General features: G+C 45.4%; 2 protein-coding genes across 3 annotated transcripts in view, besides 2 other annotated features; one reads left to right on the forward strand and one right to left on the reverse strand.

The window, feature by feature from the left end:
• Positions 1-13,013, reverse strand: part of TASP1 (taspase 1) — a 534,161-nt gene that overhangs the window by 114,341 nt on the left and 406,807 nt on the right. The window lies entirely within an intron of this gene.
• Positions 1,945-2,064: a silencer, noted in NCBI's record as "silent region_12677". NCBI's record gives its function as "represses an Ori minimal core promoter by ATAC-STARR-seq in GM12878 lymphoblastoid cells {active_cell/tissue: GM12878}" and the evidence as "EXISTENCE:reporter gene assay evidence [ECO:0000049][PMID:35858748]".
• Positions 2,162-13,013, forward strand: part of ISM1 (isthmin 1) — a 105,450-nt gene continuing 94,598 nt past the window's right edge. For both annotated transcript variants that reach the window (XM_017027680.2, NM_080826.2), the window contains exon 1: positions 2,162-2,802. In XM_017027680.2, the coding sequence (XP_016883169.1) occupies positions 2,665-2,802 (138 nt within the window). In that variant the 5' untranslated portion in view covers positions 2,162-2,664. The remainder of the gene's footprint in view (positions 2,803-13,013) is intronic.
• Positions 2,524-2,593: a silencer, noted in NCBI's record as "silent region_12678". NCBI's record gives its function as "represses an Ori minimal core promoter by ATAC-STARR-seq in GM12878 lymphoblastoid cells {active_cell/tissue: GM12878}" and the evidence as "EXISTENCE:reporter gene assay evidence [ECO:0000049][PMID:35858748]".

The following is a 13,013-nucleotide window of genomic DNA, read 5'->3' on the forward strand; positions in this document are numbered from 1 at the left end:
TGTGTGTGATGAAAGGGCAGGACACAGCGGCCCCTGGATCCTAATTCAGACCAGCCTGCCTCTGGCAATAGGAAAGTCATTTGTTCCTGCGAGCCCGTATCATAATCTGGCACAACTGGAGGTTAGAACAATCCTTAAAACTCTTTGGCTGTGGGATTCTAGTTTGCCATCTTAATTTATACATTCTATTTCGGCGCTGATTCTCCAGCCCTTTCCCTTTTAAGTGATCCTAATTAGAAAACACACAGGAGGATCCTTCCAGGATTTAAAAGCTGCTGGGATCCCCTCTTTGATCTCCCATCTGAAATACGGACGGTTATTGTTTCGCGTTTCCCCCCACTCCCCCCGACCCGCACTCCAGTGACAATTATTGGCATTTTAGAGCCTAGAGATAGAAATAAGATGTCTGACAGGCCCGGCTGCCTAAAAATCCAAAGCAAGCACCCCTCCAAACATCTCCCCTCCTCCCTCGCACCGTTCCCCACCCAAAAAAAAATAATGAAAAGGAAAAAATATAGCAGACTCTATAAACAGCTGCCAATTTATTAATAAGATGCTGGAGTTAGTTAGAATTTTAAAGATGCTTCAGGCATCTTTAAGGAGGCAGCAAGCCCTTCCTCTCCCGGGCACAAATAAGCCCAACCAGCAGACCCTACCTTAACTACCGCTATTTAAATTCTGCAAAGTACCGCGGTGACCGGAGGAACCTTCGCAAAGGCGCAAGGGTTTGCCTTAATTTGGTTAATACTTGGTTGAGATGCCTTGCGAGAACTCGAAAGCAGTTGAATTAAGAATCTTAAATCTTTCTAGGACGCGGAGAAGGAAGGTAGGAAATTGGGGAGGGGGAAAGGGAGGCGTGCCGTCAAGAAAGAGTTGATTATTTATTTAATTTCATTCACCAAGGGAGAATTCGGAGGCTCCATCCCGGAGGCACTGGGGTCCGGGACGCGGGAAAGGCTTGGAAATGTGCGACGCGGCTGTGTGCGAACGCGTGGACTAGGTCTTGGCTCGCTGGGAGGGAAGGGCTGGGCCGGCGCTGGGGAGGAGGAAGGGAGGGAACGGGTAGGAGGAGGGGAAGCGCAGTATAAAAGTCCCGGCCGGACTGAGCGTCCGCTACTCCGAGTCACTTCGGTAAGGCGGGAGCCCGAGCAAGGTCAAGGAGGGAAGTGCGCGGTGCCACGGACCGACACAGTTCGCTCTAGCATCTGACGCTCGGACTCCGCGCCCTCAGCCGGATCCCAGAGCCCTTCCATTCGCCAACCGCCCACTGCAAGGCATGAGCCGCACGCGGGAGCCCGAGGCTGCAGCGCGGTCATGAGGCGGTGGCCCGGGATCGACAGCTGCGCGACGCCAGCCCCCAAATCCCCTCTGGGCGCGGCACCCCCGGGATGAGCCCCCCACAGAGGCAAGCCCACTAGAGCTGAGATTCACTCCGAGTTCCTGAGCGCCTGAGCCGCGGGCACTGCGTCTCTGCAGCTTCCAGCCAACACCTGCGCCCGTGACCAGACGAACGCCTAGAGAGTCGGACTCCCCTCCCTTCCCAGGCTCTACGGGGCGCCGCGGATCCGCGAACAGCCGTGCCCGGCTAGCGGGCGGCCCAGCAAGTGTCAAGACCCTTCGGAACGACACTTTGGCACTCCTCCTCTCCCCCGACTGCTTCAGGCAGGGGTCGCAGGCAGACGCATGGCTTGTCCGGCGCCCCCTCCGTTTTCCATCACTGCAACTCCAGCTCCAGTTTGCCAATAAAGGTTTCTAAAGCAGCCCAGGCACCACCCCACCCACCCACAGCCCCGAGCCTCAGTGTGCACAAGGGCTCTACCCGCGCCCGTCACAGCGACCTCGGCAGCGGGCACTTGGTACAGCCCGGCAGGCTGACGCTGCCGCCGAGGGCGCCCCGGCTACCGCCAAACCGTGACAACCTCGGTGTGCCCGGGGCCCCCATCTGGAACCGGCCCTCCCCGGGACTCCGAGTGCGGGGCGGCGCGGCAGGCGGCCCCGAGGAGCGCGGAGAGTAGTGGAGGTGGCTTGCCGGGTGAGTGGCTCGGGGCGGCGAGGGCGGGGGCGCCAAGCGTGGAGGTAACTCCCGGCCGCAGCTGAAGCCCTCCTACTCCTCCTCCTCCTCCTCCTCCTCCTCCTCCTCCTCCTCCTCCTTCTCCTTCTCCTCCTCCTCCTCCCCGCGCTTCTCTGGCGGCCGCTCCCGCTCCAGCTGCGGCGCCGCGGCCACATCTGGGGCGCCCATGTGCGCTCGGGGGCTCGGCTGCGCCCGCCCCGCCGCCGACCCCGCAGCCCCCTGCCAGCAGGGTGGCCTCCGGCCCGGCCCGGGTCCCGGGCTGTCCCGGGACCCAGTCTCCGTCTCCGCCGCCGCCGCCGCCAGGCAGCGCCGGGGCTTGCTCCGCAGCCGGCTTGGACACCCCCGGCCTCGCGGTGGCTCCGCCGTGGTGCGGCGGCGGCGGCGGCGGCGGCGCCGGCAGCTCCTGCTCCCCCGGCCCCGCACACCCCGCCGCGCCCAGCGCCAGCCCCGCGGGCCCGGGAAGCGGAGCCCTGGCGGGAGCCGAGGCGGGAGCCGCGCTGCCGGGCTCCCGGGCTCCTACTCCTCCTCCCCCGGCGTCACCGCCGCCGCCGCCGGCCGCCGCGCCGGGTCCTAAAGCCGCGCGTCTCAAAAGGATGGTGCGCCTGGCGGCCGAGCTGCTGCTGCTGCTGGGGCTGCTGCTGCTCACGCTGCACATCACCGTGCTGCGCGGCTCGGGAGCCGCCGACGGGCCCGACGCGGCCGCGGGCAACGCCAGCCAAGCCCAGCTGCAGGTGAGTGCGCCGCCGGAGAGGGCCGTGCGCGGCTGCGGGGACGGTTTGTGGGGCGGGGGTGCTGAGCTAGTGCCGGGTGGATGCAGGGAGGCAGGTCCCCTGCCCCACCTAAGAGCAACTGTTTTGGCAGTAGTTTTGCCCGGGCCACTTGACTTAGGCAGAGGCGGAGCGGGGGCACGTGCCTGGAGGCTGCACCCGGCTTCCAGGTCTGCGGGCTGCGCTCCTTCAGTTCTGTCTGTCACGGGTCAGGTGCGGGGTTGGTGGGGAGGTGGGAAGGAGCGAGGTTTGGGATGAGCAGAGGAAGTGTGGAGAATGTGCTTGCTTGGGGGTGCTACCAGTCTTTCGTTGCCCTTCGGAGGCTGAGTAATGTTACTCGAGGCTGGAGGGACGCAAGGAGACTTTATAGGATGATATCCCTGAAGTCTTTGGGAGAAAGAACTCCGGGAGTCTACCCCTTTAGGAAGCAATGCCAAAGGTCAGGACATAATTTCCCAAGGAGAATAGCCAGGCATCCCCTCCTCACCCTCAGGGTTCCCTTGCTTCCAGTGTTCCTCTTCCTCCGGGAGCCTCGCCTGAGGTTCCCCCCTCCCCCCTTGTGCCCCCTTGGTCATGGGGAAGGTGCAGAGTGAAGGCACCGGTAGTGATTTGGGCCAGGGTTACCTGGGGCTTTTAAACTTGTAGCAAAGTCTTTCTCCCAAGGATCTTCCCCGTTGAAGGTCGCTTTAGCAATGGGATTCTGTTTATCCATTTCAACTTCAGGGCAAGGAGAGGGCGTAGTGGACGGTCAGACATAATGTGAGTTCTGACTTAGGAATAGAATTGCCCAGCTAGGCATTTCCTGCCGCTATGTTAGCGCCTTTCCTTGAGTCTAGGGGTGGGACAACTGTAAACTTGGAGCATAGGCAAAAGCAAGCAGGGATTTTCCCAGGAGGCAGAGGGGATTCTCTGGCTCCTAAAATCTGCTCAAACCAGGCGCGGTGGCTCACGCCTGTGATCCCAGCACTTTAGCAGGCAGAGGCGGGTGGATCACCTCAGGCCAGGTGTTGGAGACTATCCTGGCCGACATGGTGAAACCCCGTCTCTACTAAAAATACAAAAATTAGCTGGGCGTGGTGGCGCACGCCTGTAGTCCCAGTTACTCGGGAGGCTGAGGCAGGAGAATTGCTTGAACCCGGGAGGTTGTAGTGAGCTGAGATCGCGCCACTGCACTCCAGCCTGGGCGACAGAGCGAGACTCCGTCTCAAAAAAAAAATAAAATAAAATAAAATAAAATAAAATAAATAAATAAATAAATAAAATGAAATAAGCATTATTCATTGTTCCCAAAGGCCTTTATATTCATTGTCTTTGATAATTCACTTTTTACATCTTTATACAATTTATTGCGAAAAACTTTACCGTAAAGAGAAAACTAATAAAACACTTCCATTGTGTTTACTACGTGCCACCGTTTTAAGTACTTTACAGAATTTAACTCACTTAATTTAACCATAATCTTACAAGACATGGTACTGTTAATATAGCCTCATTTACAGATGCAAAAACTGAGGTACAGAGAGGTTAAAAAACTTGTCAAAGTTCAGACATTCCAAACTCTTGATTACACCAAATTTTGTCTCTACCAGGATAGACTAAAGCAAGGTGATTATTGCACGCAATTACAAAACAGTAGAAAAGTACACACCCCAAAGCTTAAAGTTGTTTTAACTTTGAGACATTTCTAAAAATGTCCTAACTTTGTGGGTTCTCTCACCTTCTCCCGTGGGTAGATAAGTACAGTGACAGACTGAGGGAATTTCTATGCGGAAGTTGAAGATGCCACCATCCTATAGACTGGGGCACCCACCAATCTAACACTGCGGAGATAATTCTTAATATCTTCAAGATTTCTGGAAGTTATATTTTATACATGATGCTTTCTTTCCTCATGGACTCATGAAAAGCCATAAAAATGATGTTCTGTGGAAAAGTAAATTTGGCAGATTACTTTATGAGGTGTTTGCTATCATTAGAATAACCCGGGGTTGGCCTTTTCCGCTTGAACAGTAAGGTAATGAGAGAAGCAGCTGGTGGAAGTGGCAGTTCTAAAAGGGAAGTGGACTGAATTCTCAAAAGGGGCTTTGGCTGAAGAACTGCCCCAAGAGGACACAACAAATGGGGGATTTAGAAAGAGTTATGCTCCTAGAAATATCTTGAGTCCCAAGTAGCTGCTAATCCACCAGCTTCAGCTTATCTTGTAATAGTGTTCGGTGAGACTGTCCACTCAATGCACACACTTTTCCAAGCAGAATGATGAGTTTAGCAGTTTAGTTCATAATTTTGCTGTTTTGTAATTTGTTATTATAAAAGTTTTATACTCTTCCTGACCAAAGTTATTTCTTTGGCCCTCTGACTCTCTGAAGGTATTATAAGTCAAAAGAAGAATGTTCTGCCAAATGAGGAGGTCTGCAAAAGACATTTATTAGTCCATCGTTTTCAGGCCCCAGAAAGTGAATTTGCTAGTAGCAGGTGTATTTGAAGACAAAACTGTGGACACTGTATTCTTTCTTTTTACCAGACATTTTAAACCCAAGTCTTAAACATCATCTAAATTTGTTGGTTCTGTGCTATCCTGAGCTACTAAAATCCTTCTTCACAATCAGAAAATTAATCAATCCATATACATCATTTTTATTGTTTTTATCTCTGTGTACAACCTTCTAAAATATAAGGTTGTCTTAGTCAGAAATATGCAATGGTGAGTTTATTTACCTGAATTGTAGTATGTTTGTATTCACTTAAAAAGGGACACATTCTTATTTAAGGATATATCAAGGACGCCCAATAAAGTAGTAGTAAGAAAAGCAACAATAATAGTTAAGATTTATTAAGTGCCTTTTATGTGGCAGGCACTGTTCTTAGCACTTTACACATACTAGCTTTCTTTCTTTTTTTTTTTTTTTTTTTTTTGAGACGCAGTCTTGCTCTGTCGCCCAGGCTGGAGTGCAGTGGCGCGATCTCTGCTCACTGCAACCTCCACTTCCCGGGTTCATGCCATTCTCCTGCCTCAGCCTCCCAAGTAGCTGGGACTACAGGCGCCTGCCACCACGCCCGGCTAATTTTTTTTTTTTTTGTATTTTTAGTAGAGACGGGGTTTCACCGTGTTAGCCAGGATGGTCTCACTCTCCTGACCTCATGATCCGCCCGCCTTGGCCTCCCAAAGTGCTGGGATTACAGGCGTGAGCCACCGCGCCCGGCCCATACTAGCTTTCTTAATCCTCACAAAAATCCCGGGAATTAGGTGCTATCATTATCCCTGTTTCAAAAGGAGAAACTGAGGTTAGGTAATTTGCCCAAGGTTGCACAGCTAGAAGCTTCTTCATTTATTTTCGTTATTTTATAGTGGGGAGCTATTTGAAGCATATTTCTACTGCAAGTTCTTGATAAAGTCATACACTCAAGAGAGAGAAAGGCTTTTAACAATTTACATTTTCAAATGTATCTTGACAGTCTTACTGTGTTAACTATGACATATATGTATATATACACATACATTATATATACATAATACACATATATGTATAAATGTTATCTAACTTTTTTTGTAGTTTCAGCGCACTAGGGGTTACATTTTTGACTCTTTGTATGACTGTCTCCCCTAGTATGCCCTAGTGTGCTCAAAACATTAATAGGTACGATGTTACAAGGTGGCAGTAAAAAGTTTTGAGTACACTCTCCATATTGGGTAACTGGCTGATGAAAATAAAAATGTTAGTCTTTGAATGGTTGTCAGTATTTTTAAAATATCTAGTAAGAAATGAGAAAACTATCTGCAGTAGCTGCATTAAAATGCATGGAAACATCAACTTTTTCTTGCTTTTGAATCTTAGTTCATTAGAATAAGTTTGTCTCATATTAATCAGATACTCAGATTAGTTCTTTCACATATATTTAATTAATGTTAATGATAAAACATACATAGATATGGATATAGATATAGATATATAATAAAAGTCATCTGGAAGACAAAATATAGAATCCATAGGCAATAATAGTACTAATAAAGGTATCTCCTTTGTCTGAAATTCAAATGATTGCCTTTCCACTAAATCTCAGTCAGTTTTAGAATCATGAATTTCTATATATTTTTAGTAGTAAGTCAGAACTCATTAAGGCAGTGAGATTTAAGCAAGTATTATAAAACACCAATTTGATTATTTTTACAATAACATTAAAGCAAACCAAACTCTCGAATGTAGTAAAATGTCTTTGTTCTCTGTTTCCTAACTATCATCTTTATGAACACTTTCCATCTTTTATCCCTTTATTGCCTTCAGTAAAACAGCTTAGCTTCTTGTATTCACTGCTTTGGATTTAGGAGTTCATCCAAGCCACTTATAGCAGTAGAAGCAAAAGCATAATTTATCTGTACTTAATACAAGAAAGTCAATAGCCATTTGTGTTTCTTATTTTGTGACTTACCTGCTCGTTTTCCAGTCAGGCTGATTACTTTTACTGGAATTTTTTTTTTTAATGATTGACAATTGTTTCACTTAGCTATTGCTGCAGAACAAACCACCCTAAAATTTAGTGGCTTAACACAACCACCATTTTATTTCTTCATGAATTTGTATGACAGCACCTTGCTTGGGCTCAGCTGAGTGGTTCTTCTGGTGATTTCACCTGATATTACTCATGTAGCTGTGGCCATCTGTTGGCTTCATGTGGGCTAGGTGGTCCAAAAATACCTCACTCATTTGTCTGATAGTTGGTGCTTGCTGTCACTTAGGTTTGCTCTCCATATAATCTCTCATCCTTAAGGAGTCTAGCTCATATATCTTTACATGGTGGACTCAGAGCAGCAAGAGAATAAAAGCAGAAATTGCAAGACCTATTGATGAGTTTGCACAACTTCATTTCAGCTGTATTCTATTAGCCAAACCATGTGGTTGCTTAGATTCTAGTGGACAAGAAATAGTTTCCACTTCTTGATGGGAGGAGCAGCAAAGTCACATTAAAGAAGAGCATGCGTACAGGGAGGAATCATAGGCATCTTTTTATCTTTGTTCTCCTAATTTTTGATTTACATTTTTAGAACCCATAGTGCAAGGACATAAAGTGTCCTTTTAGGTGACTGTATTTTTATCAAGGTGAAACTCTTTATCTCTTTTATTGCCTTTTGTCTTGAATACTTTTTTGTGTCATATTAATATTGCAACTTCTGCTCTTTCTTCCTTTTAGAATTTGTTTGGGTGTCTTTTCCAACCTTTATTTTCAAACTTTTTTTGACTTTTTAATTTACTTTTTTCAAATTTATTCATTTATTTTGAGATGGAGTCTCACTCTATCTCCCAGGCTGGAGTGCAGTGGCGCTATCTTGGCTCACTGCAAGCTCCACCTCCTGGGTTCACACCATTCTCCTGCCTCAGCCTCCCGAGTAGCTGGGACTACAGGCACATGCCACCATGCCTAGCTATTTTTTTGTATTTTTAGTGGAGACAGGGTTTCACCGTGTTAGCTAGGATGGTCTCAATCTCCTGACCTCATGATCTGCCCGCCTCGACCTCCCAAAGTGCTGGGATTACAGGTGTGAGCCACCATGCCCAGCCCAACTTTTTTCTTTTTTTTTTTTTGAGACGGAGTCTTGCTCTGTCACCCAGGCTGGAGTGCAGTGGCGCGATCTTGGCTCACTTCAAACTCTGCCTCCTGGCTTCACGCCATTCTCCTGCTTCAGCCTCCCGGGTAGCTGGGACTACAGGCGCCCGCCACCATGCCTGGCTAATTTTTTGTATTTTTAGTAGAGACGGGGTTTCACCCTGTTAGCCAGGATGGTCTCGATCTCCTGACCTCATGATCCTCTCGCCTCTGCCTCCCAAAGTGCTGGGATTACAGGTGTGAGCCACCGCGCCCGGCCCCAACTTTTTAATTTAAATATCTTTCTTATTAATAAGCTATATTAATAATGTCTATCTTAGGAATCAATTCTTACCAGTTTTATTATACTACCAATAATTATTTAGACTTAATTCTAAGATTTACTTATTTCTTTATCTAGCTGCTGCTGCCTTTTTTTTTTTTTTTTTCTTTTTGAGATGGAGTCTAGCTCTGTTGCCCAGGCTGGAGTCCAGGAGTGCAGTGGTGTGATCTCAGCTCACTGCAACCTCCCTCTCCCGGGTTCAAGCGATTCTCGTGCCTCAGCCTCCCAAATAGCTGGGATTACAGGTACCCACCACCATGCCCGGCTAATTTTTGTATTTTTAGTAGAGATGGAGTTTCACCATGTTGGCCAGGCTGGTCTCGAACTCTTCATCTCAGGTGATCTGCCCGTCCTGGCCTCCCAAAATGCTGGGATTACAGGTGTGAGCCACTGTGCCTGGCCTGCTGCTGCTGCTTCAATCTCATACTTTCATCTTTTATTTTGCTAGAACACAGTTTCAAAAATTTTTTCAGAGAGAATTTATTAATTATAAACTCTATAAGAACCTATATCTTTAGACATATCTTTATTTGATTCTCAGAATTAAATGCTAATTTGGCAGTTGGCTGTCTTCTATCTTATTTCCCCCCTAAGAATTTTAAGAATAGAATTTAATTTTTGATACCATCTCATATTTCAGATGAGAAGTCTAATACCATTTCTTTGTAGGTGATTTTTTTAAAAACTTGATGCTTTTATGATTTTTTTCCTTTATTTTAATGTTCGGAAATTTTACCAGGTTGTGTTTAGATTCAGGGCTTTAGCTGTTAGTCCTGTTCAGCATATGGTGGACCCTTTCATTCTGAAGTCTAAACTTTGTCTCCAGCTTGAAAAAATTTCTTTAGTTATATCTTTGGTATTTCCAATATCCCTGTACTCTTTTTCTGGAACTCCTGTTAGAGATTGAAACTAACATTGAGATTTCAAGATCTATCTTTCATGTCTCTGAATTTTTCTTCTCATACTTTTATTTCTGTTGTTTAATTGTGTCTTATGTCTCGAGGCATTCTTCTGGCTATTTCAACCCCAGTGTCTTGTTTAGGAAATATTTCATAACTGAACGCTCATAGTAAATATCAGATGCAAATGTCAAACTCAACCACTCTGAAACCCAGGACTGAATGAAATAGCTCTACCACTTCCTGCCCTCAGCCTTTTCTCCTAAATTCTATAGCCTCTTTTCTCCCCTTCTTTTTCTTTCCCTTTCTTTCCTTTTTCTTCCTTTTTTATCTTCCTTTCCTTTCTTTTTCCTTATCTTTCTTCTCTTCTCTCTCTCTCTCTTTCTGCATTTTTTAAAGTTTTTTAAAACTACATATAAATTACATGCAATAAAATGGATGAATCTTAAGGGTTCAGTTTCATTTTTGACAGTTGTATATGCCTATATAGTTACCACCAAAATTAGGATATAGAACATTCCCCATCACCCCAGAAAGTCTTCTAGTGCACAATTGTAGGCAATTTGCTCCTTCCAGAGGCAACCAATTTCTGGCTTCCATTACCGTAGATTAGTTTTGCCTGTTCCAGAGTTTCACATAAATGGAAATGTACTTTTTGCATTTTTCCATGTGCCTGGCTTCTCTCATTAAACTAAGTTTTTGAGATTCATTTATTTTGTGTGTATCAGTAGATTTCTCTCTTTTATTGCTAAATGATAGTCCACTGTGTAACTCTATCACAATTTGTATATCCCCATCAATGGACATTTGGTTTGTTTCCATTGCTTTGCATATTATGAGTAAGACCATGTTAGTATTCTTACACAAGCCTTTCTGTGGACCTATGTTTTCATTTCTTGTGAGTAAATTTCTAGTAGTAAGGCTGACATAGTCTCTGTTCTTGATAGTATTGTGGTAATTCTTCTAGGGAAACTGACTTTTTAGAGATCTCACTTTCCTTTTCTCACCTCTGTAGTGCTTCACTTTCAATTGGTTGCCACTTGTTTCATATCTACCAGAAATCCCTCTCTCTCTTCTGTTGGCCCTTCTTTCAGCTTTCCAATTCTGTTGTGGATTGACTCATATTTCTTCTACCTCCTCCATAGAATTAATAAATAGAAAAGAGGTAAACGCCACCTTGGTCGGCCACCTTGAGCTCAAGCACTATAATTCTATTTCTTAATTTTATTTTCCTTTATATAAACCAAAATAAAGTTCTATCATTTGTGCTGTTCCTTCATTTATTCACTTCTACTCATAGTTTAAAAGGCATTAATCTTTGAGGTTTGGGGGCATCCTCAGATGTCTATTCATTTGGTCAAGAAGAATCTGTTTTGGTTTTAATGCCTCCAAAGCAAATAATCTCAATAACATTTTCCATATGTCATACAAGTGTTTTTTAACAACTCTTAATATCAGAACATTTTTCCTCTGATATGCCCATTAAATCTTTTACGCTACATGTTAATTTCATGTTCACTTTGTTCACTTTTTTTTCTTCCCAGAGTTCATGAACAGGTGGCTGCTCTCTTTTCAAGAAACTTCTCCTGTAGAACTTGAAGATTATTATGTAATAGTTCCTTTGTCGTCTCCAAATTCCATTATCTCAGTTTCTTTAACTTGTCTTCATTAGTCTTATTGTAAAACATTTTAGTGCTTTCTGTGGTTCTATTATTTCTCTCTCATCTTCTGAGAGCATCTTTCTTTTGCAACCCTTGGCTTAGGGTTTACAAATTTTACCCTTTACAAATTTTATGATTTGTAAAGAAAAGAATGACAATGAAGCCCCTTAGGTCCTCAATGACAGCTAAGAGTGTCCCTCTGTCTCTACTCATCCCCCAAAGACAGGAGATAATTTAGAGATGGGATGGGGGTGTCGGTTTAGTGCCCAGATTATATGTAGTGAGTTCAAACAAACAGCAAGGGAATGTGTTGTAGAAAAAAAAAGAAAAGAAAAGAAAAAAAAACCTCACTTTGCATTTTATTTAAACCTTATACAATTCCTTTTTATAAGAATTATAAGAAACTGTGAACATAAATACGTAAAACCTAATTTCTTTCTTTCTGTGGCTTATCAGTCAAGAGGTTAGATCAAGTCCAGTGCTGACAAAACCAATATGCTTATTATGCCCAGTGTTTCTCTTGGGACTAAGCACTCACTGCCCATTGTGGTCCCTGACTTGATAATGTACCCTTCTGGCTCTTTCTCTTCCCTGCCTTCCTCCCTCTTCGCCTACCAGAGATTTCTGGGGTCATCTCTCAAATAAATTACTTGTTCTTTGTCTCAGGGCCTGCTTCTAGGAAAACCCACACTAAGTGAACCACACCCAAATGGTAGTCATGGTAATAATGGATACTCCTCTAGGTAGCAACAATACAGGAAGTCTCCAGAAGGGTAACAGAGCAGAGTTTCCATGAGGCCCCTGCTTGTTGTTGTCATTAACAGCGAGGAAGTCTGTTAGCCTCAGAGAGATGTGCTGCAGGCAGCAAAAGAACCAGGCTACCCCATGCCCTCCCGGAGCAGTCAGGAAGAGGGAAATTCCAAAATTACAGAGATGGGCTGCAAAGGTCACGCCTAGGCAAAGCCTACAAATTCCTGGTGTTTAGAGATCTAATGGGTCCTTTTTCTCCTGAGATGCTGATCCCATGGTCCTTTACTATCTTAGGTGGGAGGATGAGTAACAATGGGGAGGCCTCAGAGGCGTGTGGGATTGTCATCTACTCCCTGTGAGGCATCAACTCCCTGAGCACAGACCAGCACGTGTCCCTGGAAAGTTATTTTTGTAAACCGAGTAGAAGTAAAAACAGTAGGTTAACTACCCCTTCTTCCTGTTGGCCTGACTCATGCACATTTTAGTAAACCCAATCATCTTGCACAGAGCACTCTCTATGGCTGACACACATCCATTAGACAGCAACACCCACATTCCCCATGGAAGAGATAGTACTGCGAGGTTCATGGAATAGAAGAGTTCTGTCTTCAAGTTTGGGTCTCTGAGCTGCCTGATTTGCAGTTTTGAGTACCCCAATCACCAAATATTCAAGAGCAGTGACCTGGAAAAGGTCAGGTAGGCTTTGAATGCGATGGGCCATTGATGTCATCTGGACACCACTTATCTATTTTCAAAAATAACAAAGTATGTCCAAAATCTGTATGAAGAATGCAGAGAAGGTGGAAATGGTCATAGCCTGCCCCAGTGTTAACTTCCTCCCATAAGCATCCAGGTAGAATATTTTCACCAAGGACAAAGAAACAAATAACAGACATGCCTTGCCTCACAGGTAACCCTGGGAGATGGCAGTGAGGACAGGAGGAG

The sequence above is a fragment of the Homo sapiens genome, chromosome 20, assembly GCF_000001405.40.
Source record: "Homo sapiens chromosome 20, GRCh38.p14 Primary Assembly".
Classification (NCBI taxonomy): Eukaryota; Metazoa; Chordata; class Mammalia; order Primates; family Hominidae; genus Homo; species Homo sapiens.